This window comes from Homo sapiens, chromosome 17 (genome assembly GCF_000001405.40).
Source record: "Homo sapiens chromosome 17, GRCh38.p14 Primary Assembly".
NCBI lineage: Eukaryota > Metazoa > Chordata > Mammalia > Primates > Hominidae > Homo > Homo sapiens.
In genome coordinates, this window is record NC_000017.11 from 35,092,153 (window position 1) to 35,120,081 (window position 27,929).

Sequence of the window (27,929 nt, forward strand, 5' to 3'; positions counted from 1 at the left end):
GCGAGCAATAGTATTTAGTAGTGATAAAACACTAATTTGTCTACCAAGTGACATATTTATAGGAGCTGTTTACTTGGACATATTTTTATTATTTCTACTCATTTGCTAAGTACTTTCCAACGCATATTTATGAAGCACAGGCCTTTCCCCAAACAGTTGTGAAAAAATAAATCATATTATTTCTTTTATTAGTAGCAGCACGGCTTGGAAGTCCTAGTGCCCTGATTTTAGTTATTTCTGGCAAGAGCTGGAAGAATTAATAGTGACCGACCACCTACTATGTGCCAGACTCTCTGTGAAAGGCACTTTACATAAATTATCTGTTTAATTCCCCTGAGGCATATATTTTACCAACAAAGAATGTAATTCCCCTGCAACATACACTTTACCAGTAGGACAGAGACATTACCTTGTCCAAGTAACTCGGCCAGAAAGGGACTAGCAGGGTTTTGAACTTAGATCTTTTTCCTGATTCCAAAATCCCAAATCACCATTCCATTTCACCAGCACCCCTACCAACCTCTCTGGATCTAATAGCTTCTGTAAAATATAAAGTGTTTTTTGTTTTGTTTTGTTTTTTTAATGAGAGAGGATGTGTAGGTTACTGAGAATGGAACAGTTAGAGATAAACATACACAGGGTGCTAACCCTAATTTTTCTATGGGAGGTTACTCTTCAAGGGATTTACTCCCTAAGAAATCAATGGAAGGATGTTTCCCAAAGAGAAGGGCCAGTACTAGTGCTGGATCCATTCCTGGAGACAGAACTGGCTACACTGTTTGCAAGAAACAGTGCAAAATATGGGATGCTTGTTTAAAAATTAAGAACTTCAAGATGGCAACAGCAGAGCATTAAACTAAGTGCAGAGCCCTGCTAAGCATGGGGCTGTGTGACTGCACTGGTCATACCACCATGTAGCTGGGCCTGCCTGGACAGAAGAAAGCTGTCATCAGTATCCCCCATGCATCATAAGCTTATTCATAATATGAGATTGAGTGCCTATATCATGCCTGGAAAACTATTCAGTGTTTTACATAAGTTACATGATCCTAAAACAACTCTATGAAACAGATATTATTTTTCCCATTTCACGGTGGATGAAACTAAGGCTTAAAGAGACTGTTATTCATCCATTGTTATATGGCAAGTAAATGTCAAAGCTAGGACCAAGTTAGTTGAGATATAAAAAATCCTGTTCCTTGACTTTGTATCTTTGTCAGCACAGGCCCATTGTTTTCCTACAAAACTCAAACTTAAGCTGAGGCTATTATACCAAAAACTATAGAGAGGCCAAGGAAGAGCAGAGATTCAAGGGCTACTCAAAAAGTCAAATGTGCAGCAGCTGAAGTGCAGCCGTACAGCTCCAGGGCATGAGGACCTGGCAGAGAGAACTCCATCATTCATGGCAAATGTCATGGCCAATACCCAGACTCCTCCAAGACTGAAGGGTAACCCAGTGAGGTCTTTCATAAAGAGCAGCTACGTGGAACCTAAGGCATCTAACTCAGTAAAATATTGTAAATAGTCCACTAAAGTTAGGAACAAGACAAGGATGATTGTTATTGTTGCTTCTATTCTGTGTAGTACTAAAAGTCAGTTTAGCCAGTGCAATAGGACAAGAAAAAAATGATAGAAAGCATTCAGGATCACTTTGGATTAATAATATACCTAACTCTAATTTAAGGTCTATGCATCACAGAGCCTTCTCCAATGCCAAACCCCAGCACACAGAACTAGACAGTTTAAACCTTACCCAGTGCTTGCTTCAGCAGCACATACACTAAAATTGGAACAATACAAAGATGATTAGCATGGCCCCTGAAATAAATTAAAATATAAATAAATCCTGCCCAGACAACTGCATGGCAGAACACAGCAAAAACCTAGTAGGATATACATCTAAATCCCTTATCTCCCCCTGCTTCACATCTCAGGGATGCATAGGCCCTGTTTTGTTTTGTTTTTTTGAGATGGAGTCTTGTTCCGTCACCCAGACTGGAGTGCAGTAGTGTGATCTTGGCTCACTGCAACTTCCACCACCCGGGTTCAAGCGATTCTCCTGCCTCAGCCTTCTGAGTAGCTGGAACTACAGGCACCCGCCACCACGCCCGGCTAATTTTTGTATTTTTAGTAGAAATGGGGTTTCGCCATGTTGGCCAAGCTGGTCTCGAACTTCTGATTTCAAATGATCCACCCACCTCAGCCTCCCAGAGCGCTGAGATGACAGGCGTGAGCCACCACGCTCAGCCAGCCCTGCTGTTTTTTATTCAGCTTTATTTCCCCCTAAACCTCCAGTTCTCTTTAATACTAATGATATCTGCCTTCTCCAAGTTTTTGTCATTCTTTTGTAACTTCCCTGGGGGAAATCAGAAAGAGCTGAGAAGTAGATCTCTGATCCCGCTTTTTATGGTGAGCTAAGCTGAAAAGAGGTTGGGATGTGCAGCCCCTGCTGCTATCAGGGCAAAGTATGAAAAAGAATTTTGTGGAAACATTTACATATTTACAGCAGAAGGCAGCGTGCAGATGGGAAAAAATGGGTTTGGTATCAGGCAGACATGTGTCTGGATTCCCGTGCTGCCACTTATTAGCTTTATGTCCTTAACCTCACTGAGATCCCATTTACTGTCTATTAAATGGAATCATTCCCTCTGCCACAAGGCTGTCCTAAGGTCATAATGAGACATGCATCAAGGGCCTAAGGATACATAATAGAGCCTTGATTAACTCGTCTTTGGTACTACCGTAAGTACTAGTGAGAGGCTGCCCACCCAGCATCCAGTTCATCCACACACTCTCCTTTCTAGTAGAAAGGAGAACTCCCATTTTTCTTTCAGTGGCTCCAGCATGTGCTTCAGGAAAGCCTGTCCCCAGCCTCAGCTCCAGGGCTATTTCCTAGTTGGTTTGAGTCAATCACAGCAGTCCCTTTTTCTTGCCAGTTACTGTATTACACATGGGTGTATGAAGCAATTCTGCACCAATGAGATTTGAGGTGAGTCAGCTTTGGTTGGAAGTTAGTTCTGAGTTAGTCCTTTGTTAAATTAAATTTGGGGTCGGGTGTGGTGTCTCACGCCTGTAATCCAGGCACTTTGGGAGGCAGAGGCAGGTGAATCACCTGAGGTCAGGAGTTTGAGACCAGTCTGGCCAACATGGTGAAACCCCATCTCTACTAAAAATACAAAAAGAGCCGGGGATGGGGGCGCATGCTTGTAATCCCAGCTACTCGGGAGGCTGCGGCAGAATTGCTTGAACCCAGGAAGCAGAGGTTGCAGTGAGCCAAGATCATGCCACTGCACTCCAGCCTAGGTGACAGAGACTCCGTCTCAAACAAACAAACAAAAGCTAAATTTGGCCTGAGGGCTAGTCACAGTGGGTCATGCCTATAATCCCAGTTCTTTGGGAGGCTGAGGCAGGCAGATCATCTGAGGTCAGGAGTTCGAGACCAGCCATGGCCAACATGATGAAACCCCATCTCTACTAAAAATACAAAAAATTAGCCGGACATAGTGGCAGGCGCCTGTAGTCGTAGTCCCAGCTACTCAGGAGGCTGAGGCAGGAGAATCACTTGAACCCGGGAGGCAGAGGTGCAGTGAGCTGAGATCACGCCACTGCACTCCAGCCTGAGCAAGAGCAAGACTCCATCTCAAAAAGAAAAAAAAAATTGACCTGAGGAGGCTTTACTTGGGCCCTTAACAAACTGCAGCCTTAGTATGCAAACTAACTGAAAACCTAATTTAGGAGTATACTTTTGTAACAGATTGCTGAGGCTCAGCCAATCACATCATCAGCTTCAGTGGGTTCCAGGCAGCCAACTATTCAAACCATTTTCAAATAAGGCAAAGGCAGAGCTGTAACCAATTAGTTGTCTTTGTATCTCATTTCTGTTTTCTGACCATAAATGCTTTCAGACTATGTTGCAGCTCTGGAATTCTCTGAACCTGTCCTGGTTCTGAGGGCAGCCCAATTCTAGAATTGCAAATAAAAGTCAATTACAATCTGCAAAACTATATTTGCTTTAATTTTGTCTTTTAACACCTTGTTTTCTTAATTTTTATTATTTTATTTTATAGAGATAGGGTCTTGCTATGTTGCCCAGGCTGGTCTGGAACTCCTGGCCTCAGGCGATCCTCCTACTTTGGCTTCCCAAATTACTGGGATTACAGTCAGGAGCCACAGTTCCTGGCATGTTAACACCTTGTTCTTTAAAGGACACACAGGAGGCGATCCTTCTCCTGCCTGTAGATATTGTCACGTCTGGATTGATGCTCAAAATGGCTGCAGCCAGGCTTTCATAAGGGGAACAAGCTTGAAGACAAAACCAACATAAAAGAACAGAGCAGAAGGATGCAAAGGCTCTACGCCATTTGACAATGAGCCACTAAATTAACAAACCTCAGACTTCCTGTTATCAGAGATAATAAGTGTCCCTGCCAGGCATGGTGGCTCATGACTGTAATCCCTAGCACTTTGGGAGGTCAAGGCGGGTAGATCACCTGAGCCCAGGAGTTCAAGACCAGCCTGGGCAACGTACAGAGACCCCGTCTCTACAAAAAATACAAAACTTAGATGGGTGTGGTGGCACACACCTGTAGTCCCAGCTACTTGGGAGACTGAAGTGGGAGGATCACTTGAGCTTGGGAGGTAGAGGGTACAGTGAGCCGTGATTGTGCCACTGCACTCCAGAGCAAGACTCTGTCTTGAAACATAAAAGAAATAAATATAAATAAGTGTCCCTAGTATTTACACTTCTTTAAGCCTAGGTTTTGTTACTTGCAGCCTTAATGATACATGGACCTTTGCCTGAGTCCTTGGGAATTCAAATGCCTGATTTTTAATTAAGGCCATCAAGTGCTAGCACATAGTAGGATCTCAACATTAATTTCATCTGATGTCAGACGAAGGGCATACAATAGTCCCCTGTAAAAAGATATGTAAGAAGACACTCTGGGGACTCAATGATGTGGGTGTGAACATATATATATATTTTTTAGATGGAGTCTCACTCTGTTGCCCAGGCTAGAGTACAGTGGCACAATCTCGGCTCACTGCAACCTCCATCTCCCAGGTTCAAGCGATTCTCATGCCTCAGCCTCCCAAGTAGCTGGGATTACAGATGCGAGCCATCACACCCAGCTAATTTTTGTATTTTTAGTAGAGACAGGGTTTCACTATATAGGCCAGGCTGGTCTTGAACTCCTGACCTTGTGATCCGCCCACTTTGGCCTCCCAAAGTGCTGGGATTACAGGCGTGAGCCACTGCGCCTGGCTCATATGTGTATATATATGTGTGTATATATATGTGTGTATATATATATATGTGTGTATATATATGTATATATATGTGTGTATATGTGTGTGTGTGTGTGTGTATATATATATATATATGTATATGTATATGTATATTTTTTTCCTAAGAACTAGAGAGTGCCCTCAGGTCTCAAACCACCCCCGCAGGGGAAATTGAAAGTTGACGCTTTATGGAAGGAACCCCTGAGATAGAGCCAGTCCTTTGCTTTTTTAAAATATATTTTTAAAACATCATTCATCTATTTAATCATTACTGAGCTTCCATAATGTATAAAGAGAAAAAGTGACAAAAAGTGGGAGCCTGTAGGCAGACACGTGAACAGAAAGTACAAGTGAATAACTAATACAGGGAAGTTACTGTAAGCATCTATCTAGATCACAGCTGAGGCATAAAAAAGGATGTCAGGGTGGGTGTGCACCAGACACAGTGGGAGCTGGGCAGAGACAGACACATAAGCAAAGGGAGCAAAAGGCACTTGGACAGGAGAGCCAGCCTAGCCCAAGTCCTACCAGGGGACTGCACAGTGTGGTGTGGCCGGAACAGAGTGCAGTGGCAGCAGGCAGGCAAGACAAAGTCCTGGTCTAGGAGGAGCCAAAGGATGAAGCTGGCTGTGAGGGGCACAGCCTGCAGGAATGTCACGTGGTGGTCTCAAGTAGCAGTGAATGCAACACCTTCCCATGGCCACAGAAACTCCTTGGGTGACAGCTGTGGTGCCTTCAGCTGGAGTTACAGCCCTAGCAGGAATAGAACTGTATGGACTGAAAATTAAATAAAATGTGGGGATTTTTTTTTTCTTTTTGAAACAGAGTCTCTGTTGCCCAGGCTGGAGTGCAGTGGCATGATCGCAGGTCATTGCAACCTCTGCCTCCTGGGCTCAAGTGATCCTCCCCACTCAGCCTCTCGAGGAGCTGGGATTACAGACATGCGCCACGACGCCTGGCTAATTTTTGCATTTTTTTTTTTTTTTTGAGACGGAGTCTCACTCTGTCGCTCAGGCTGGAGTGCAGTGGCGCCATCTCAGCTCCCTGCAACCTCCGCCTCCCAGGTTCAAGCGATTCTGCCTCAGCCTCCTGAGTAGCTGGGATTACAGGAAATGGGCCACCATGCCTGGCTAATTTTTGTATTTTTAGTACAGACGGGGTTTCACCATGTTGGTCAGGCTGGTCTGGAACTCCTGACCTTAGGTGATCCACCCACCTCAGCCTCCCAAAGTGCTGGGATTACAGGCGTGAGCCACCACACCCAGCCAATGTGGGAATTAAAAAAAAAAGAGTCCTAGGAATCAAGTTGTGGGTTCCAGATCCCACCTCCATTCTGCCACTAGGACTGTCAGTCATCCTTTTTGAGCCTCAGGTACCTTCTCTGTTAAGTAACAGGATGGGCCAGATGATTTTTTTTTTCCTTGAGACAGGGTCTTGCTCTGTTACCCAGGCTGGGGTGTAGTGGTGCGATCAGGGCTCACTGCAGCCACAACCTCCAAGGTTCAAGCGATTCTCCTGCCTCAGGCTCCCAAGTAGCAGGGACCACAGGTGCACATCACAATGCCTAGCTAATTTAAAAAATTTTTTTGTAGAAACGATGTCTCATCATGTTGCCCAGGCTGATTTTAAACTGTTAAACTCCTGGGCTCAAGTGATCCTCCCGCCTCAGGCTCCCAAAGTGCTACCATTATAGGTGTGAGCCACTGTGCCTGGCCCCAGATGATCTCAAACTGCAGTCCTAGGGTCCTCAGTTAGGTATTAAGTACCTGAACTCACTACATAATGGGAACAGGGCAGAGACGGCAACCAGACTCCACCTTGAATACCAACTCCAACTGACTGGTAGTGGCCCCCTGGAGTGCTATATTGAGAAAAACTTCTAAAAACACTTTGACTTCCACAAAAAAGAGTGCTTGTGCCCGATTGGTCATGTCTGCTGTGGGCTGAAGATGCCCAAATAGTACCTTGAGTGGCAAGAATTTGCAATTTCCAGCTTCATGTATTGCATCTTACTGTGGTTGCAGGAATGTGCCAATCACCCATGGTATAAAGATACTGAAGATTAATTTCTCCTGAGGTCTTCTGTGAAAGCAAGCGCTAGGATTCCCCCAGGCTTAGGCTTACCAACCCTGTCCTGAATCCAACACCCTGGTGCCAGTTTGCCACTCCTTCCCAATCCTCCATGATTCTATCCCTGTTGCATTCATCACCTCTAAATGTCATTACTTTCTGAGTGTAACTCGGACCCTCCTTTCCTGCAGCCAAGACATAACTGATTAATTACACAACAGGCTCTCTAACCAAGAAAGATGACCTTCCTTTAAAAGATGTGGCCAGTAACCAATCCTGATCATTTCTGTACTTTTCCTTTTATTTTCCATTCCCTGGTGTCTTCGTCCCCTCCCAGCCAGGGTCATGGCTCTCAGACGGATGGCCACAGTGCTGGTGAAAGACAGAGGGATTATTTCATACACTAGGGCACTAGCTGTGGTACAGCTGGCAGGAAGAGAGGTGTAATTATATTGCATCTTGGAGCCACCAGCAATGAATTTCTGCATAAAGGACTAGATTTGCCATGTATTATTTACGTCAGCATCAATTTTCCCAGCTGGCTCTATTTACTGTGCAAATTCTCCTCTGTCTGTTTATGGGCAAGGCCATGGTTCAGCACCTCTGGTTATGCTGTACTGTGGAGGGGCCCCACAGGGCACCATGCATATTAAATGAGTGGCTGGATTCACCAGGAGCAGGTCATACCCTCCCTTTCTGTTAAATTATATCCCTGGAACTGCAGCGAGCCCACACGTTCTCACCTAGTCATGGTGATGCAGGCAGGTCTGAAACCAAATCAGCAAGAGGAAAGGAGGAATAAACTGTTCTTTGGGCCTCACTGGGGGAAACTGAAAAACAGCCTTCTAAGGGGAAATCAGGTGGCTCTAGGGCTCGGGGAATTGCCTTTTTATATTTTTAAGAGCAAAACAGAGATGAAGAAGAGTATTTCATTTATAAGCTTATTTCCACCCAGTAACTCAGAGACAGAGCTAAGGAAGAGTGGGCCCCCATCTAACAAATGGAAAGGCAGAGACAAAAGAAAAAAAAGGCAGCAGCAGCAAAGGCAAGTTAGAGGCTTTCCCGGCTTGGCCACTGCGCTAGGAGGGAGCACAGGACACAATGGTGATGCACAGGATTATCCATCCAGTCGCCAGCATGCCTCATCAGAGATGCTCCCAGCCAGGGTGAACTTGGTTTCCACCAGAAACATACACGTTAGAAATAAGGGAAGGAAACGTGGCACCAGTATGAATTTCTGGGTCCTCGCAATGCAGCATCCTCTTTCGCCTGTGGTTTATATGCTTACAGAGAGTGAGGCCAAGGAACCCAAGATGTCTCTTCTGGCCAGCCTGAGAACGTCTGTAGTCACCAGTGCCAGGTGGCAGTAAACAGCAGGCGTTACTGGGAAGAAAAGTTGGGAGGGGTCCCCAATGCTTCCCTGTTTCCCAAACAACAGCACAGGTCATGTCTGATCACCCTGTAATGTGGCACTCTGCTCTGAGGTCCCCCAGGTCCCAATGTCTACCATCTCCTGGAAACCTGTTGGCTGGAAGAAGAAGTAAGGAGTCAGTGGAGTTAAGCAACCCAAGTGGGTAGCTTCTTTAGTTGCAAGGTTTCAGCCTCTAAAGAGTTCTTCTCGAAGACATCTGTGGGTATGGAAACCACCCTCCAGGGCCCAAGATTACTGGCATCTTCCTGGGGCTGGCTCACCTGTCGGGAAGATTTGGCCAGACACGCCATGCGCCGGCCGCCTGATGCTCCTGCTCCCTCGATGGTGTCCAGGAGAATCCGAGTGCTGGGCACAAAGCTCCAGGAGCGTCCGAGGGCAGGTTTGAGCCTCCCGCTGTCCCTGTCTCGAGTTATGTGGTTGGTCACCTGCAGCAGAAACAGACTTACAGATCCATAATGCTAGTATAGAGGACATCGATTACTACCGCTTCATTTTACGGAGAGGAAAACAGAGGCCTAGCACAGAGAAATAACTTCCCCAAGGTTACAAAACCTAATGGCAGGTCTGGAACTAGAACCTGGGCCTCCTGACTTGTGCCCCGCTCTTTCCACTAAATCTCGATGCCTCAGGTTTGACCCGAACCAGAAGGCGATGGGGCACATGTCACCATGCTTTCCAGGCTGGTCTCAAACTCTTGAGCTCATGCAGTCCGCCAGCCTCAGCCTCCCAAAGTGCTGGGATTACAAGTGTGGGCCACCACGCCCAGACACTCAGCCTTTAAAAGGAAGGAAAGTCTGACACATGCTACAAGGTGGATGAACCTTCTGGACATTATGCTAAGTGAAATACTCCAGTCACAAAAAGTAAATACCATATGATTCCATGTATATGAGGTTCCTAGAGTAGTCAAAAAGCATAGATACAGAAAGTAGAATGGTGGTTGTCAGGGGCTGGGGAAGGGGAAAATGAGTTATTTTTAATGGGTACAGAGTTTCAGTTTTACAAGGTGAAGAGTTATAGAGATGGATGGTGGTGATGGTTGTACAGCGTTATGAATGTATTTAACACCACCGAACTGTATACCTTAAAGTGGTTAAGATAGTAAATTTTATGTTACATGTATTTTACCACAATAAAAGAAACTGGAAAAAATATATAGCTGCTAAAAATTACATTTCTAAAAAATCTATTTTAAAACATAGGAAATGGACTCAGATGGTATTTTTTATGTTGTTGTTTTGGTTTGTTTGTTTTTGAGATGAGGTTTTGCTCTGTTGCCCAGGCTGGAGTGCAGTGGCATGATCACAGCTCACTGCAGCCTCGATCTCCCAGGCTCAAGCAATTCTCCTGCCACCAAGGCCACCTAGTTTTTGTATTTTTTGTAGAGGTGGGGTTTTGCCATGTTGCCCAGGCTAGTCTCGAACTCCTGGGCTCAAGTGATCCACCAGCCTTGGCTTCTCAAAGTGCTGGGATTACACGCATAAACCAGCGCACCTGGCCTATTTTTTTTTATTTTTTCATGAGGTTAGTTTAGTTAGAAAGCTGGTTAAGTGTGGGCTCACACCTGTAATACCAACACTTTGGGAGGCTGAGGCGGGTGGATTGCTTGAGCCTGGAAGGTCGAGCTGCAGTGAGCTGTGATTGTGCCCCTGCACTCCAGCCTGGGAAACAGAGCGAAACCCTATCTCAAAAGAAAAAAAAAAGAAAGAAAGAAAGTTGGCTAAAAGTATAAGTAAATATGCAGAAAAAGTATTGTATGGAGATATGTAAAAATATTAATATGGTTTCTGTGGATGTGGAGATTGATGACAAATTTGAATCATATTTATTTTCTATCCTTTCTATGAGAAGCATGCAGACTTTAAAAAAACTACCTCATAAGCAGAAAAAGTTACTTCAATAGCAAAAAGATCCATTTATATGAAGCTCTGGAAAAGGCCAAACTATTGGGATGGAAAACAGATCAGTGGTTGCCTGGGCCTGGGGGACCTTTTGGTGGGGTCACAAGACTGGATACAACTATATCCATTAGTCAAACTTCAAACAAGGAGAAAGTTACTCTATGTAAATTATACCTCAATAAACCTGACTAAAAAGAAAAAATGTAGAAACAAAACAAAACAACAAAAAAACAACAAGACGATTCCTGATTCCCTTAGCTATTTATGGTGCAAAGCTGTAGCTGACCCAGGGAAGCTGGGATATGTCCCTTTCCTAAAGGGCCACTTTGGGGTTCAGAAGCTGACATTTAAGGGAAATAAAGAGCTCGCAATAACTAGAAATCAAGTTCATTGGCCAAGCCTGCTTCCTCACCACCACTGCCATGCCAAGGTCCCGGGCCAGGGTCTTCAGCTCTCGGGCCAGCTGCATCATCAAGGCCAAGCCTGCAGGAGGAGGAGAAGCAGAGAGGGAGGGCAGTGGGGAACCAGGGATGGGGCTGGCCAGAGACCAGACTCCAGAGCTGGGAGGCGAGGTCACATTCCACTGGCCCCAGGCTCTGCCACATCACTCACCTTCCCTCTGCTGACCTCCCAGAAGTGGGGAAACCACCGCAGTGACCGAGTCCACAACCACCACCTTCACAGTTCCTGAAGAACCAGTCACCTGAAGGAATGTGGGGGAAGCACTCATGAACCTGTCAGCCTCTAGGACACATTACAGGACAAGCTTGCTTTTCTATCTAAAACTAGTAAGAAATAGCCCCCCCATCCCAAATACAGCAAGCTGCACGGGCATCACAGAATGTCATCAGCAGCAATGTCTCCCTCGTCCCATTGGCATGTGTAACAGACTTCAATGAAGACTTGGGTAGAAAGAAAGGGTTTAAATCACAGGACATCAAAACTACACTAAAGTGGCTGGGCGCAGTGGCTCACGCCTGTAATCCCAGCACTTTGGGAGGCCAAGGCGGTGGATCACTTGAGGTCAGGAGTTCGAGACCAGCCTGGCCAACATGGTGAAACCCCGTCTCCACTAAACATACAAAAATTAGCTGGGCGTGGTGGTGCACACCTGTAATCCCAGCTACTCAGGAGGCTGAGGCAGGAGAATCGCTTGAAACTGGGAGGCGGGGGTTGCAGTGAACTGAGATCACACCGCTGCATTCCAGCCTGGGCGACAGAGCAAGACTCTGTCTCAAAAAAAATAAAATAAAATAACTAAAAACTACATTAAAGTCATCAAATTTCAGAAAGCTCCGCAGAGAGTCCTGAGGCCTCTGGTCATGGATCTCTCAGCAGCCATCTCTCTCCTGTGTCCAGCCTCCCACCATGGTGGTAAGGCCCTTCTTTTCCTTTTCTGACTCCCTCCTTTCTTTCCCTTGTCCTGCTAACTACCACCCTCAAATTCCTAACTTCCTTTGCTGAAGAGTTTAGCCTTCTCTTTACTTCACTGTCTCCTTCTAGATCATGCCTCTAGGCCTCATCTTCCGTATCTAAAATGCCTCCAAATAAATTCCCTAAGTCTTGCTCTGTCACCCAGGCTGGAGTGCAGTGGCATGATCTCAGCTAACTGCAACCTCTGCCTCCTCGGTTCAAACGATTCTCATGCCTCAGCTTCCTAAGTAGCTGTGACTATGGGTGCACACATTGGGTGCACACTACGGGTGCTAATTTTTGTATTTTTAGCAGAGACGGGGTTTTACCGTGTTGGCCAGGCTGGTCTCGAAATCCGGCCTCAAGTGATCTGGCCACTTTGGCCTCCCAAAATGCCAGGATTACAGGCATGAGCCACCAAGCCTAGCCTGTGCCATCTTTCTAACCATAATTTTCTGTCTTTACACAAGCAGGAGAATCCTCCTGGTTTCCCTGGACTTAAACTGTTTTTGATGCTTCTTTTCTCTTCTCCCTTACTTCTTATATCCTGATTCTGGTTCTTTTTCTTTTCTTCTTTCTTTTTCTTTTTTTTTTTTTTAAGACAGGGTCTTGCTATGCTGCCCAGGCTGGTCCTGAACTCCTGGGCTCAAGTGATCCTCCTGCCTTGGCCTTCCAAAGCATTGGGATTTTAGGCGTGAGCCACCGCTCCTAGTCTCAGATTCTTAACCCCTAGAAACTGTGAGATAAGAAATACTATGTCTTAAGCCACTAAGGTTTTGGTAACTTATTATGCAATAATAGAAGATATATCATCTAATGGTCCTACAGTAAAAAATACAGTCTTCTGATCTGGAATTGAGAGGTTTGGGCTATAAGGTTAGTTCTTGCCCTAAATATTTGGTCAACTTTGGTCAACTCACTTCACTTCTCCGGCCTTCACTCTTCTCATCTCTAAAAGTGAGGTAAGCACTACTCAGCTTCATGTCTCAACAAGCTGGTGGGTCATAACCAGCTATGACTTCTGAGGTAAGTATTTGTTCAACATTTTTTTTTAAAGACGGGGTCTAGCTCTGCTGACCAGGCTAAGGTACAGTGGTATGATCATAGCTCACTGCAACCTCCAACTGCTAGGCTCAAGCAATCCTCCCGTCTCAGCCTCTGGAGTCATTAGGATTACAGGTGTGGGCCACCACTCCCAGCTTGTTCAACTATTATATGTTCTAAAGTTTGTAAAAATCATTGACTTTATATATAGTCGTGGGGATGCCCGTGTGAACACGTCATGCTTTGGGGTGAGAGGAAAAGTTTGAGATAAACTATTCTATCTTTAAGGTATCCTCCACATCTAGTCATTTATAAATCAGTGCACCAAATCCTGTCTAAGCACCCAACATGAGTAGCAAAGTGCCAACCCAAATGCCATTCTAAATCCTTCCCATTAACATGACTCTGAATGTGTTCAGCGACTGGGCAGAAATCTGACTTCAGGGATGGTGGGCCCAGGTCTTAGTCCAAGATACACACATAACCCCATTTTGGCCAACTAGATGTAAGGGGAAGAGGGACGTCTATTAGTGGGCTCTGGAGAAAGATTCTTCATCCCTGATAAAAGGGAGGAGGTACAGAAAAGAACCATCTATCTTTTACTGCCTTGAATATGGATGTGGATGTGTGAAGACAAGATGCTTGGAGCTTTGGCAGCCTCTTTGCAACCATGAGGGGAAGAACAAGAAAATCAGACACACAAATCTATTGCCCTGATAGCATGGACCTGCCAACCTCCCAACTCATGTGACATAATTAAATGTCCTCAAGCTTCAAGTCTCTGTCAGACAACCTCTATTACTTGCAGCTAAAAGTATTCCTCACTCACCTAGTGGGGAATGCAGACATAAATATGACATGATCCTTCCACTCAGGGGGCTTTACTGTTCAGCAGGGAAGATGAACATGTAAACAATGAGGTATGTGATTTAGGTGCTCGGGAATTCCATCCTGGGAGTAGCAAGCATAGTTGGAGTCACCAGATTGCACATCTGCATTTCCAAACAGTCTGTAGTAGGACACCTGCCCACAGAGATAGCACCTAGAAAGCTGAATTAAGCAAGGAGGGGCAGAACAGCAGGCTCACCTGCTGGGCCACAGTGCCTCGGAGCTCCTGCAGCACATCCAGCATCTGGAAGATGTCAAATGCATGCACCACCTGGATCCTCCGGAGAGCTTCTGCCTGAAGCGGTGGAAAAGAAAAGCAAGGACTTTGGATAAGAGGGAGTAGGGGGGTCAAGGTAAGGCTGAGAAGGAAGAGGCACCTGGATGCAAGGACTCAGGTCCAGGGTGGCAAATGAGCTTTGTCTAATGGTCAGTTGTCACAGTGGTGGCTGCCTGGGTGCTGAGCTGTAAAGTACTCAGAACTCAGCAGGAAAGAGGGATATGACTGATTAGTGATGTCTCTCACAGGTGAGAAATGGACTGGAAACACAAAGCTTGGTGTTTGCCAGCCCTGGTTTAGGGCATGCAAAGAGTTGGGAGGGTTTCCTGGAAGAATCAGTGTGAGTAGCATCCCAAATGGGATGATGGCATCAACAGGGGTGGCTTAAGGAATACGAGATGTATTAATAGAACAGCAAGTTTGAAGGCAAGGAATGACTATTCAACCCAAATTCTTACAATGTTAAGGGATAATGGGGTTTTCCTGTGTCAGAATCTCAATGGAACCCAGCATCCTGCCCTTACCTGTTCCTCCTCATCCTGGGTTTTAGCCTGAAGCAGCTGGAGGAGGCGGGAAGCTGTCAGCCCTCCATTGGAATCTACATATAGGACGTTTTGCTGCAGGCCATGGGCCACATTTGCTGCCATACAGAGACATACCTGGGGGTGGGGGCATTGGATGAACTTGACACTTCAGAGAGGGTCCAGATGGGAGCTCCCCACCAAACCTTGCCCAGATTCCAGCAACACAAATGGGCTGAGTCCCGACCCCATTCCTTATTACCCATCTTCTCTCTGTTGGGCTCTGAACCCATTAGTACGCTGAAGCTCCCCCAGGGACCCTGGGCTATGCATCTACCACCCTCACCCCTAAATCCTCCTGACTGCTGGCCTCACATGTACCTGAGTTTTGCCGCTACCTGGGCCTCCTACAATTTCAGTCACTTCTCCAGTATAGAGACCAGCATCAAGCAGTTTATCAAGACTGATGGCAGAAGAGAAGAAAATCAACACAAGAGGTTAGGAGGAAGACAGGGGAAAAGGTACCAAGAAGAAAAGTAAGACATTTCTTTCAAGCACTGGTTCTGTCTTTGAACATCACTGGCCAGGAGGCTTCTCCTGGTGTTTTCTTCTGGTAAGGAGGGAATGCCCAAATGTGCCTTCTCTGGTCTCTCTTCATCCCTCCACTCTTAAAGATCAGCTCTCCAGAGAGGCCTCTGCCACCCCATCAGAAGGTTCTCCCTTCATTTTTCATCTCAGGCCCTGTGGGTTTCCTTTTTTTTTTTTTTTTTTTTTTTTTTTGAGACGGAGTCTCTCTTTGTTGTCCAGGCCGGAGTGCTGGAGTGCAGTGGCGTGATCTCTACTCACTGCAACCTCCACCTCCCAGGCTCAAGTGATTTTCCTGCCTCAGCCTCCCGAGTAGCTGGGACTACAGGTGCCCGCCACCATACCCGACTAGTTTTTTTAATTAGAGACGGGGTTTCACCATGTTGGCCAGCCTGGTCTCAAACTCCTGACCTCAAGCGATCCACCCACCTCGGCCTCCCAGAGTGCTGCAATTATAGGCGTGAGTCACCACGCCCAGCTGTTTGTGGGTTTCCTTGATAGCGTTTCCCAAAATTTGTCGCTTTTTTTAAACTTTGATGGTGGCACACGCCTGTAGTCCTAGCTACTCAGGAGGCTGAGGCAGGAGAATCGCTTGAACCCAGGAGGTGGAGGTTACAGTGAGCCGAGATCACGCCACTGCACTCCAGCCTGGTGACAGAGCAAGACTCTGTCTCAAAAAAACAAAACAAACAACAACAACAACAACAAGAAAAAACAACTTTGAGATAATTATAGATTCCCAGGAAGTTGCAAAAAGTCCATGAACCCTTCACCTGGTTTACCTTAATAATAACAACTGTACTACAAAATGTATTGTACTAGCCAGGGGCCTGTAGTCTCAGTTACTTGGGAGGCTAAGGTGGGAGGATCACTTGAGTCCAGGAGTTCAAGTCTAGCCCAGGCAACATAGCAAGACCCTTTTCTCTTTAAAAAAAAAAAAAAAAAAAAAAAAAAGGACTATAGTATATCACACAAGTAGCAAACTGATGTTGGTACTATCCACAGAGCTTATTCAGATTTCACCAGTGTTCCTAGCATTCAAGCACGTGTGTTGATGTGTCTAGTCCTATGCCATTTTATCACATATGTAGATTTACACGACTACTATAATCAAGATACAGAACATTTCCATCACTATAAGTCTTCCTCCTGCTACCCTTTTATAGCCACATTCCTCCCATTCACCCCTAATCCCGAATCCCTGGCAACCACTAATCTCTATTATGTTATTTCAAGAACAAAGTTATGTACATAGAATTATACACTGTGTAACCTTTGTGATTGGCTTTTTTTCTTTTCTTTTTTTTTTTTTTTTGAGACGGAGTCTCGCTCTGTCGCCCAGGCTGGAGTGCAGTGGTGCAATCTCAGCTCATTGCAACCTCCACCTCCCAGGTTCAAGCAGTTCTCCTGTCTCAGCCTCCCGAGTACCTGGGATTACAGGCGCCCACCACCACACCTGGATAATTTTTGTATTTTTAGTAGAGACGGGGTTTTGCCATTTTGGGCAGACTGGTCTGGAACTCCTGACCTCAAGTGATCCGCCCAACACAGCCTCCCAAAGTGCGGGGATTACAGACATGAGCCACCGTGCCTGGCCCTGCGATTGGCTTTTTTACTCAGCATCATTCCCTTGAGATCCATCCCAGTTATTGCATATATGGATAGTTCATTCCTTTTTACTGCTAAAAAGTATTCCATGGTATGGATGTACCACAGTTTATTTAACCATTCATCCATTGAAGGGCATTTGGTTGTTTCCACTTTGGGGCTACTATAAATAAAACTGCTATAAGCATTTTTTACAGGTTTTTGTATAAACCCAAGTTTTTACAACGTTGGGATAAATGCCCAAGAATACAATTGCTGGGTGGTATGGTAAATGCATTATTAATTTTATAAGAAACTACCAAACTATTTTCCAGAGTGGCTATGCCATTTTACATATCCGCTAACAATGTATATATGAGTAGTCCAGTGTCTCCACATCTTCATCAGCATTTGGTATTATCATTATTTTTTTATTTTAGTCTTTCTGATAGGTATGAAATAATAGCTCACTGTGTTTTTAATTTGCATTTCCCTAATAGTTAATAGTGTTGAACTTTTTTTTTTTTTGAAACGGAGTTTCACTCTTGTTGCCCAGGATGGAGTGCAATGGCGTGATCTCGGCTCACCACAACCTCCACCTCTCAGGTTCAAGCAATTCTCCTGCCTCAGCCTCCCGAGTAGCTAGGATTACAGGCATGCACCACCACGCCTGGCTAATTTTGTATTTTTAGTAGAGACGAGGTTTCTTCATGTTGGTCAGGCTGATCTCAAACTCCCGACCTCAGGTGATCAACCTGCCTTGGCCTCCCGAAGTGCTGGGATTACAGGCGTAAGCCACCACGCCTGGCTTTTTTTTTTTTTTTGAGATAGGGTCTCACGTCTCACTGTGTCACCCAGGCTAGAATTCAGTGGCATGGTCACAGCTCACTGCAATCTTGACCTCCCAGGCTGAGGTGATCCTCCCACATCAGCTCCCCCAAGTAGCTGGGACTACAGGCATGTGCCACCACACCCAGCTAATTTTTGTATTTTTTTGGTAGAGACAGGGTTTTTGCCACGTTGCCCAGGCCAGTTTTGAACTCCTGGGCTCAAGCAATCTGACCACCTCAGCCTCTCAAAGTGCTGGGATTACAGGTGTGAGCCAGCCCTTGCCCATTTTCTAATTGAATTGTTTGATTTTTTATTGTTGGGTTTTAAGAATTCTTTCTTCATTCTAGATACAAGTCCTTTGTTGAATACATGGCTTGTAACTATGTTTCCCATTCTGTACTTCTCTTTTCATTCTGTTTTGCACAGCAAAAGTTTTAAATTTTGATTAGGCCCCATTAATCAAAAATTTTTTCATGGATCATACTTTTGGCATCAAATCTAAGAACTCTTTGCCTAGATTTTCTCCTGTTTTGTTCTAAAAATTAGACAATTTGGTTTTACATTTAAGTCTATGATCCATTTTCAATTTTTGTATAAGGTATAAGGTTTAGGTTGATTATTGTATATTTTTAGCCTATGATGTCCAATAGCTCCAGCGCCCTTTGTTCAAAGGCTGTCTTTCCTCCAACACATTGTTTCTGTACCCTTGTCAAAAATCAATTGTGTGTAATCCCAGCATTTTGGGAGGCTGAGGCGGGAGCATTGCTTGAGCCCAGGAGTTTGAGGCCAGCCTGGGCAACATAATGAAACCCTGTCTCTATAAAAAAAATACAAACAGGCTGGGCGCGGTGGCTCACGCCAGTGATCCCAGCACTTTGGGAGGCCGAGGCGGGCGATCACCTGAGGTCAGGAGTTCAAGACCAGCCTGGCCAACATGGTGAAACCCCATCTCTATTAAAAATACAAGATTAGCTGGGCATGGTGGCATGCACCTGTAATCCCAGCTACCCGTGAGGTCGAGGCAGGTGAATCAAACCCGGGAGGCGGGGGTTGCAGTGAGCCGAGATCACGCCATTGCACTCCAGTCTGGGCAAAAAGAGAGAAACTCAGGCCAGGCGCGTTGACTCACACCTGTAATCCCAGCACTTTGGGAGTCCGAGGCGGGTGGATCACCTGAGGTCAGGAGTTCGAGACCAGCCTGACCAACATGGAGAAACCCCGTCTCTACTAAAAATACAAAAAAGTTAGCCAGGCCTGGTGGCATGTGCCTGTAGGAGAATCGCTTGAACCCGGGAGGCGGAGGTTGCGGTGAGCCGAGATCACGCCATTGCACTCCAGGTCAGGCAACAAGAGCGAAACTCCATCTCAAAAAAAAAAAAAAGAGAGAGAGAGAAACTCCGTCTAAAAAAAAAAAAATACAAATACAAATAACCAGGCATGGTGTCCCACACCTGTAGTCCCAGCTACTCGGGAGGCTTGGGGTGGAAGGATTGCCTGAGCCCAGGGAGGTCAAGGCTGCAGTGAGCTGTAATAGCAGCAGTACCCTCCATCCTGGGTGACAGAGCAAGACTCTGTCTCAAAAAAAAAAAAATTAGTTGTGTATACTTGTGGAGGTCTATTTCTGGGTTATCTATTCTGTTCCACTGATCTGTGTCCATCTGTCCCTTGGTCAATACCACACTAGGCTTAATTATGTAGCTATATAGCAAGTCTTAACCCTGGGTAGACTGATTCCTCCAGCTATCCTTTTTCCAAATTGTTTTAGCTAATCTAGGTAAAACTGGTCTTCCCGTAATTATTAGAATAAGCTTGTCTATGTCTATAGAAAAAAAAAACTTGCTGGGATTTTAATAGGAACTGCGTTAAATTACAGATCAACTTGGGGACAATTGAAATCTTCATTATGTTCAGTCTCCCAATCCATGAACAAAGTACATGTCATCCATTTATCCGAGTCATCTTTGATCTCTTTCATCAACAATTTAAAAATTTTCAGCATACAGATTCTACACATGCTTTGTTAGACTTATACCCAAGTATTTCATTTCTCTGAAACAACTATAAATGGCATTGTGTTTTTGTTTGTTTGTTTATTTGCTTGTTTTTTTGAGACGGAGTCTCGCTCTGTCGCCCAGGCTGGAGTGCAGTGGCGCAATCTTGGCTCACTGCAAGCTCTGCCTCCCAGGTTCACGTCATTCTCGTGCCTCAGCCTCCCCAGCAGCTGGGACTACAGGCACACACTGCCACGCCCAGCTAATTTTTGTATTTTCAGTAGAGATGGGGTTTCTCTGTGTTAGCCAGGATGGTCTCGATCTCCTGACCTTGTGATCTGCCCACCTCAGCCTCCCAAAGTGCTGGGATTACAGGCGTGAACCACCACGCCCAGCCATTTTGTTTGTTTTGTTTTTTTGAGACAGTTTCACTCTGTCACCCAGGTTGAAGTGCAGTGGCACAATATCCGCTCACTGTAACCTGCATCTCCCAGATTCAAGTGATTCTCCCGTCTCAGCCTCCCAAGTGGCTGGGATTACAACCACCCACCACCACGCCCAGCTAATTTTTGTATTTCTAGTAAAGACCAGGTTTCATCATATTGGCCAGGCTGGTCTCGAACTCCTGACCTCAGGTGATCCACTTGCCTCGACCTTCCAAAGTGCTGGGATTACAGGCATGAGCCACTGCGGCCGGCCAATAAATGGTAGTGTTTTTTATTTTAGTTTTGACATGTTCACTGTGAGTATAGAGAAATGCAGTTGATTTGTATGTGTTGGTCTTGTATCCTCACTAGTCCTAGGAGTTTGTAATTATTTGTTATTTGCTTGTTTTTGTTTGTCTTGCTCATCTAGCTGAGAGCACCATGGGGCAAGGACTGGGTCCGATCCCTGTCGCATCCCCAGCACTAGCACAGTGCCTGAAACACAGGAGGCACCCAATAATCATTCCAGAAAAATGAGTAACAGAAAGGTGCTATCACTTTTATTTCGCTTCTGTATCATCAACACTGGCTGTGAAAGACTTGGGATAAACCTCATGACATGCCAATTCCTAAACCAGGTTCTCTCCCTCAACCACATGAAACAGGTCACCACCTACCCTCCATGCCCTGCCCTATCTCTAGGCTGAAGTTTCTTCTATGCCACGGCCTGTACCAATGCCTGATCACATGCGTACCTTTCCTAGCCCTACAATCACCTTCCTAGGTTCCAGTCCTTGAGATGGTTCTTGATGACCTCCCATGACCTCTCTGTATATGCCGAACAGCACTTTAGTAAGCATCCCATCCATTTTTTTTTTCTTTTTGAGACGGAGTCTCGCTCTGTCACCAGGCTGGAGTGCAGTGGTGTGCTCTCGGCTCACTGCAACCTCCGCCTCTCGGGTTCAAACAATTCTCCTGCCTCAGCCTCCCGAGTAGCTGGGATTATAGGCACCCACCACCACGCCTGGCTAATTTTTGTATTTTTAGTAGAGATGGGGTTTCGCCATGTTGGCCAGGCTGGTCTCAAACTCCTGACCTCAGGTGACCCACTCGCCTTGGCCTCCCAAAGTGCTGGGATTATAGGCATGAGCCACCGTGCCTGGCCCCCAACCATTTTAATTCCAGGGACTCCCCATGATTATACCCACAGGTTCCTGCCAGTCAAAACACTCTGGTTACCACTCTAGCCCTGTGGCTTCTTGAGATAATTGTGCTCACCCCATCTCTGTTTAATAAGTATCCAGCCTCTACCACTCCTGATTCCATTCTTCCCATTGAGATCAGAGGAACCCCAGTGTGGTCCCCAGACCAGGTGCATCAGCAACCTTTAAGGACTAGCTAGAAATGCAAATTCACAGCTCCGCTCCCCAAGACCTACTGAATCAGAAACTCTGGGAATGCAGCCCACACTTGAAACTTGAGTTTCAACAAGGCCTCCAAGTGATTTTGAAGCCTGCTCAAGTTTCAGAACCATTAGACTAGAGTAGTTAGTCTCAATCCTGCCTGCACATTAAAATCAGGGGAGTTGGCTGGACGCAGTGGCTCTCGCCTGTAATCCTAGCACTTTGGGAGGCCGAGGCGGGTGGATCACGAGGTCAGGAGATCGAGACCATCCCGGCTAACACGGTGAAACTCCGTCTCTACTAAAAATACAAAAAATTAGCTGGGCGTGGTGGCGGGCGCCTGTAGTCCCAGCTACTTGGGAGGCTGAAGCAGGAGAATGGCATGAACCCGGGAGGTGGAGCTTGCAGTGAGCCGAGATCGCGCCACTGCACCCCAGCCTGGGCGACAGAGCAAGATTCCGTCTCAAAAAAATAAAATTAATTAATTAAATAAAATAAAATCAGGGGAGTTTTTTAAAAAATGCCTATGTCAGCAGTACCCAAAGTTGTCTGCACATTGGATTCACCTGGGAGCTTCAAAAAAATACTGATGCCTGGCCAGGCATGGTGGCTCATACCTGTCATCTCAACACTTTGGGAGACAGAGGTAGGATTGCTTGAGCCCAGGAATTTGAGACCAGCCTTGGCAACACAGCAAGACCCCTGTCTCTACAAAAAAAAAAAATTTTTTTTAATTAGCCAGGCATGGTGGTGAGCACCTGTAGTCCCAGCTACTTGGGAGGCTGAGGCAGGGAGACTGCCTGAGTCCAGGAGTTCAAGGCTGCAGTGAACTATGATTGTGCACCACTGCACTCCTGCCTGGGCAACAGAGCAAGACCCTGTCTCTAAAAAACAAATTAAAAAATTAAAAAATACTGATGCCTGTGTCCCACTCACAGTGAATGAGATTAATTGGTCTGGGGGAGACTTGGACTTCGTAATGTTTAAAAGAGTCCTCAGGTGACTCCAATGGGCACACAAGTTTGGGAACCACTGACCTAGACTAATTAAATTAGAATATATAGAGTTGGGACCAGAGCATGAATATCTCAAGTTTCCCAGATGATTCTAACGTGCAGCTGGGGTTGAAGCACTGGTGTTGACTCTAGTCAAGAATCAACCACATCCTTGGCTGTGGAGATCAGTCTGTATAAGGTATTCCCAAATCCACCTTCCAGCCAACTTCTCACCTGAGTTTCCATTCCGTGCCTCTCCGACTGCCCAGAGAACCTTCCTACCAATATGTCCCCATCACCTTTAACTCCGCATGTCAACAGGGAGAGACCCCTGTCTTGCCCCATGAAGCAGAAGTACACCTGGGTTTTACCACTGCCTAGAATACAGGTGATTTCTGGGACTTATCCTCTGCCTTTCCCTCTGAACTGCCTTTTAGCCATTCTTTCAGTCATCCATTCACACACCACTTCAATGCCTCATATTTCCTGACAGTCTTATTCTAAAATGAGGGGACTGTGGGATGAACAGACCTAGCTCTGGCCTATAAGGAATAATCAATCTCCCTCATCAACATAGCTTTTCCCAAAGTACGTTACATGCTATAACACCCTGTAAGGAATCATTGCACCTCAGCACTAAAGGTTCTGAGGCGGCCTACAACAGAGAAACCTGTTTAATTTGGATTAGTCAGGCATTTCTCAAACTTCTGACTACAGAACTCCCCTCCTCCCAAGTTTTAAAGTTACACCATTAACTGTCCACAGCACACGGTAAGAAAGGCTAGAGACTGGGCATGGTAGCTCACGCCTGTAATCCCAGCACTTTGGAAGGCCAAGGCGGGCGGATCACGAGGTCAGAAGATCGAGACCATCCTGGCCAACATGGCGAAAGTCCATCTCTACTAAAAATACAAAAAATTAGCTGGGCGTTGATGGCACGCACCTGTAGTCCCAGCTACTCGGGAGGCTGAGTCAGGAGAATCACTTGAACCCTGGAGGCGGAGGTTGCAGTGAGCCGAGATCACGCCACTGCACTCCAGCCTGGCAACAGAGTGAAACTCCGTCAAAAAAAAGAAAGAAAGAAGGAAAGAAGGAAAGGAAGGAAGGAAGGAAGGAAGGAAGGAAGGAAGGAAGGAAGAAAGAAAAGGAAGAAAGGAAAGAAAGAAAGAAAGAAAGAAAGAAAGAAAGAAAGAAAGAAAGAAAGAAAGAAAGGCTAGAAACCTGGTGAGTCAGCTTTGATTCTTCACAATACATTCCAAACTCCGACAAAAAAAAAAAAGAAAGAAAGAAAGAAAGGCTAGAAACCTGGTGAGTCAGCTTTGATTCTTCACAATACATTCCTCCTGGTAGTAGGTCTTGTCACAGTTCCTCTTCAACATGTCTCCCACTGTTCTAGACTGGACTCACATACCCCAGGCCAGCACTGCCAGGGCCCTGCTTGGCCTCTGCCACCCTTCCACCCTGCACACCTCTACCCCACTGTCTATAACCCTGCTTTCACAATGGCCTCCCGCCTCCAGGGAGACAGCCGGGCAGATGAGTTAAGAGCCGCGTTCTTAGACTTAGGAGTGTGACAAGCATGAACTCAAATAACTGGTCTGCCGTTTGCTAACTGCACAATCTTGAACAAGTCATTTAACCTGAGTCCCAATTTCTTCACCTATAGAATGATGATTTATTTTTATTTTATTTTATTTTATTTTATTTTTTTGAGATGGAGTCTTGCCCTGTTGCCCAGGCTGGAGTGCAGTGGTGCGATCTCCGCTCACTGCAAGCTCCGCTTCCCGGGTTCATGCTATTCTCCTGCCTCAGCCTTCCGAGTAGCTGGGACTACAGGCGCCCGCCACCACGCCCAGCTAATATTTTGTACTTTTAGTAGAGACGGGGTTTTACCGTGTTAGCCAGGACAGTCTCGATTTCCTGACCTCATGATCCGCCCACCTCAGCCTCCCAAAGTGCTGTGATCACAGGCGTGAGCCACTGCGCCCGGCCTAGAATGATGATTTAAACAGTAACATGCTCATTGGTGGTTGTGACGAATAAATGAAATAATGTACCGTGAAGTGCTGACCGCAGTGCCTCGTTCATCGAAAGCATTCAGCGAAAGTCCATCTGTTCCTCCATGCCCAAGTCCTGCCTTCTTCAGAGCATTCCTGACCCCACTCCACGATCTCCCTGCGGGGACCTGAGGCAGCTGCAGTCCTCCCAGGTTCCCACTTGAGTGCGCCCTCCATGTCTGTTGGATTTATAAACTCCCTAAGCCCAAGGCCAATCGGCTTCCTGTTCACCACTCCCTCCTTACCGTTGCCTCCCTCGGTGCTTACAGCTCTCTTGTATTCACTTGATTTTCCCCTACACCCAACTAGAGGCCTTAAGGGCAGGGGCCTTGCCTCATTCGTGTATGTATCATCTGCACATACCAAGCACCCAGCAGGCCCTTAGCCAGTGCTTGATGGATCACAGACTCAGACCCCCAACCAGGGAAAGCAAGCACCACACTGCATGAACCCTGCCAAGAGAATGTGTTAAGGAAACAGAAAGGGCCACACCAATCCAAAGACCTTTATGGTGGCAGTTATTCATCAATTTCTGAACAAACAGACCAGGAAAAAGGTCAAGACTCACTTGGCCAGCAAACGTCTGTCGTCTTTGCAACTCTTCCCCAACCCACCAAACAACGTGGCGGGACATAACTGCTCCTTTTTTTTGAGAGAGTCTCGCTCTGCCACCAAGGCTGGAGTGCAGTGGTGCGATCTTGGCCTACTGCAACCTCCACCTCCCACATTCAAGCAATTCTCCTGCTGCAGCCTCCCAAGTAGCTGGGACTACAGGCGCCCGCCACCACGCCCGACTAATTTTTGTATGTTTAGTAGAGACGGGGTTTCATCATTTTGGGCGGGCAAGCAGGCCAGGCAGGTCTCAAACTCCCGGCCTCCAGTGATCTGCCGCCTCAGCCTCCCAAAGTGCTGGGATTACAGGTATGAGCACTGCATCTGGACCGCAACTCCTTCTTTCTCTGAACTCTCCTGTTCTCTACTGCTGCAGATGTGGTGAATAAGTTCTGGGCCACATACTCCCGCGCTTGAGCCTCACCTTTGCCACTTGCTCCTCTTAGGCTAAACTCAAGTAGGGTTAATTATCTCTAACTGGTAGAGTCACTGAAGAGATTACCTAGAACATACAGGTAATGCCTGCACATAGTAGGCACTCAGTAAATGTTCTCTCTTGCCATATCCTTAAGTAAAATAAGAAGTAGGGCCAGAGAAGATGGTGAAAATAATGAGATACTGACAGCTTGTGTTATAGGACAATGCTTCTCAACCAGAGGCAATTGTGCCTCCCAGGGGACATTTAGCCATGTCAGGAGACATTTTTGATGGTTACAACTGGAGCAGGGCTGGTGCTACTGGCATCTAGTGGGCAGAGGCCAGAGATGCTGCTAAACATCCTACACTGCACAGGACAGCCTCCACCCCCCAACAAATAATTACCTGTCCCTAAATATCAATAGTGCCAAGGCTGAGATACCCCATAACCCTGTTATAGGATAAGAATTCAGATGTCCTGACCCCTTTCCTTCCCATCCATTATTGGTTAAAAAAAAAACCCCTCCCGTCTAGACTCAAGCATCAAAAGCAGAGCTGAGAGGAGGCCCCATCCTCCTGCCTCTCTCCTTCTTCCCCAAGTACACACACAAACCTGCCAATGCCAGTGGACAGGATGGCAGTGGAGGTCTTCAGTTCCTCGTAGAGATCAGCGCCATTCACGGGGAAAGCCGAGAACTGAGCCAGCAGCACCCGCCTCAGGGCAACCAGGGCCTGCCAAAGGGCCCCAGACTGCTCAGCAACAAATTGCCCGTAGAAGCTGGCATCCCAGGGTGTCATTCACCCTACTTCTCAATATCTGAGAACCCTCTGCTCCCTTTGGCTTGGGATGGACTTTTGTTATTGTTGTTGTTTCAGACAGGGTCTCACTCTGTCGCCCAGATTGGAGTGCAGTAGCACGATCTCGGCTCACTGCAACCTCTGCCTCCCGGGCTCAAATGATTCTCCTTCCTCAGCCTCCCGAGTAGCTGGGATTGTAGGCGTGGGCCACCACACCCAGCTAATTTTTGTATTTTTAGTAGGGACAGGGTTTCACCATGTTGGCCTGGATGGTCTCGAACTCCTGACTTCTGACTCCAAGTGACCCACCCGCCTCGGCCTCCCAAAGTGCTGGGATTACAGGCATGAGCCACCGCGCCCAGCTGGCTTGGGATGGACTTTTTAAAAAGACACTCAGGTTTGGAATGTGGAGATCAGGAGCTCACCTTGTAAGACAAGCCACATTTCTGAGCTACCTCTTCCAGGTCTGCAGAAACCAGGTCCACCACTGAAAACAAAACACGTATAGCGGATTGGCAGAGAGGACTGGGGCCTCCCACACTTGGTTTTTCCTCATCTGTCAAATGGGGTGTCAATTCTACCCCCCGGCAGGCCGTCTCAGGAGGCCAGTGTGAAATAACAAAGCTGCAGGAGCCGGCGCGGTGCCCTGCACACAGTAGGAATCTCTACCCTGTTTTAGAGCTTGGCTCCCCACGCCCACCCTTCCTGAGCCTCTCCAGAAGCGCGGCCCTCTAGGAATGGAGGGGAAGCGCCCTGCAGGTATGCCAGGGCAGTGCGCCAGCCCTCGGGGCCTGCCCAGGTTGTGCGAGGCCCGCGCGGCTCCCTGGCACGCGCACACCCGGTCACCTGTCTTGATCCTGTGGCTCCTGAGAAGCTGGATCATCTCCTCGGTAAGGCCAGGGCACAGTCCGACCCTGAGCACGCCCATGTTCCCCGCAGGCCGGAACAGCCCCAGGGGGACTGCACGTCACGTGGGCATTCGCGGGGGGTCCTCTCCAGACGCCCCTCCCCTACCCCTTCCTAGAGAGGACACAGGCGCGCTGGCTGCCGGAGGAGAAAGGAGAGAGGAGGAGGCGGCACCAAGGGTAGGGCTGGGGGTCATCCGCCCGCCCGGGATCCGCCGGGATTCCCGCGCCCAGAGCCCGCCCGCCGGGTCGCGCCGCGCTGCCGCTTCCGGGTTCCAGGCTGGCGCGCGGCGAGGACCTGGCCTGCAGCGCCATCTGCGGGCCGCACGGGGCAGAGCCGCTGCGCCCCTCTCCACCGCCTGCACAGGTTCCCGAGTCCCACGACCCCCTCCGCGCTCAACACGCCACCCGCGGCCACATTCGGCCTCTACCTTCTGCCGCAACACACACACCGACCTTCTAAAGAGCCTTCTGTGCGCCAGCTTCCGTTC

General features: G+C 47.0%; 1 protein-coding gene, 1 long non-coding RNA gene and 1 pseudogene across 6 annotated transcripts in view, besides 2 other annotated features; 1 reads left to right on the forward strand and 2 right to left on the reverse strand.

Moving 5' to 3' along the window:
* Positions 1-27,929, reverse strand: part of RAD51L3-RFFL (RAD51L3-RFFL readthrough) — a 112,411-nt gene that overhangs the window by 83,041 nt on the left and 1,441 nt on the right. The window contains exons 2-5 of the long non-coding RNA NR_037714.1: positions 14,234-14,329; positions 11,302-11,392; positions 11,102-11,172; positions 9,049-9,213 (exon numbers count right to left, since the gene is read on the reverse strand). This is a non-coding gene — a long non-coding RNA (RAD51L3-RFFL readthrough). The remainder of the gene's footprint in view (positions 1-9,048; positions 9,214-11,101; positions 11,173-11,301; positions 11,393-14,233; positions 14,330-27,929) is intronic.
* On the reverse strand, positions 69-27,708 carry RAD51D (RAD51 paralog D). 5 transcript variants are annotated; one of them, NM_002878.4, is made up of 10 exons: positions 27,380-27,708; positions 26,959-27,020; positions 26,349-26,467; positions 15,214-15,295; positions 14,836-14,970; positions 14,234-14,329; positions 11,302-11,392; positions 11,102-11,172; positions 9,049-9,213; positions 69-8,884 (listed from the first exon to the last, which is right to left on the reverse strand). In NM_002878.4, the coding sequence occupies exons 1-10, from the start codon at positions 27,459-27,461 to the stop codon at positions 8,801-8,803; spliced, it is 987 nt and encodes a 328-aa protein (NP_002869.3). In that variant the 5' UTR covers positions 27,462-27,708; the 3' UTR covers positions 69-8,800. The 5 variants fall into 5 exon arrangements, 3 of the variants coding, with proteins under 3 accessions (NP_002869.3, NP_001136043.1, NP_598332.1); NM_001142571.2 differs by lacking the exon at positions 26,349-26,467 and adding an exon at positions 24,707-24,885 and having other exon boundaries at positions 27,380-27,606; NR_037711.2 differs by lacking the exon at positions 26,349-26,467 and having other exon boundaries at positions 27,380-27,606.
* RNU6-840P (RNA, U6 small nuclear 840, pseudogene) lies at positions 1,757-1,821 on the forward strand (annotated as a pseudogene).
* Positions 2,845-3,045: a silencer, noted in NCBI's record as "peak2815 fragment used in MPRA reporter construct". NCBI's record gives its function as "represses an SCP1 promoter by STARR-seq MPRAs in K562 erythroleukemia cells {active_cell/tissue: K562}" and the evidence as "EXISTENCE:reporter gene assay evidence [ECO:0000049][PMID:32103011]".
* Positions 27,571-27,770: a silencer, noted in NCBI's record as "silent region_8435". NCBI's record gives its function as "represses an Ori minimal core promoter by ATAC-STARR-seq in GM12878 lymphoblastoid cells {active_cell/tissue: GM12878}" and the evidence as "EXISTENCE:reporter gene assay evidence [ECO:0000049][PMID:35858748]".

What these genes read in the sequence shown, in the direction of transcription:
- RAD51D (NM_001142571.2), bottom strand. Translation starts at nt 27,461, where the DNA reads ATGGGCGTGCTCAGGGTCGGACTGTGCCCTGGCCTTACCGAGGAGATG. An exon ending in AATGTGGCTTGTCTTACAAG is followed by an intron (nt 24,886 to 26,958) that starts GTGAGCTCCTGA and finishes TAAATCCAACAG; the next exon opens with ACATGGAGGGCGCACTCAAG. An exon ending in ACTGCGGTCAGCACTTCACG is followed by an intron (nt 15,296 to 24,706) that starts GTACATTATTTC and finishes TTCTGCCATCAG; the next exon opens with TCTTGATAAACTGCTTGATG.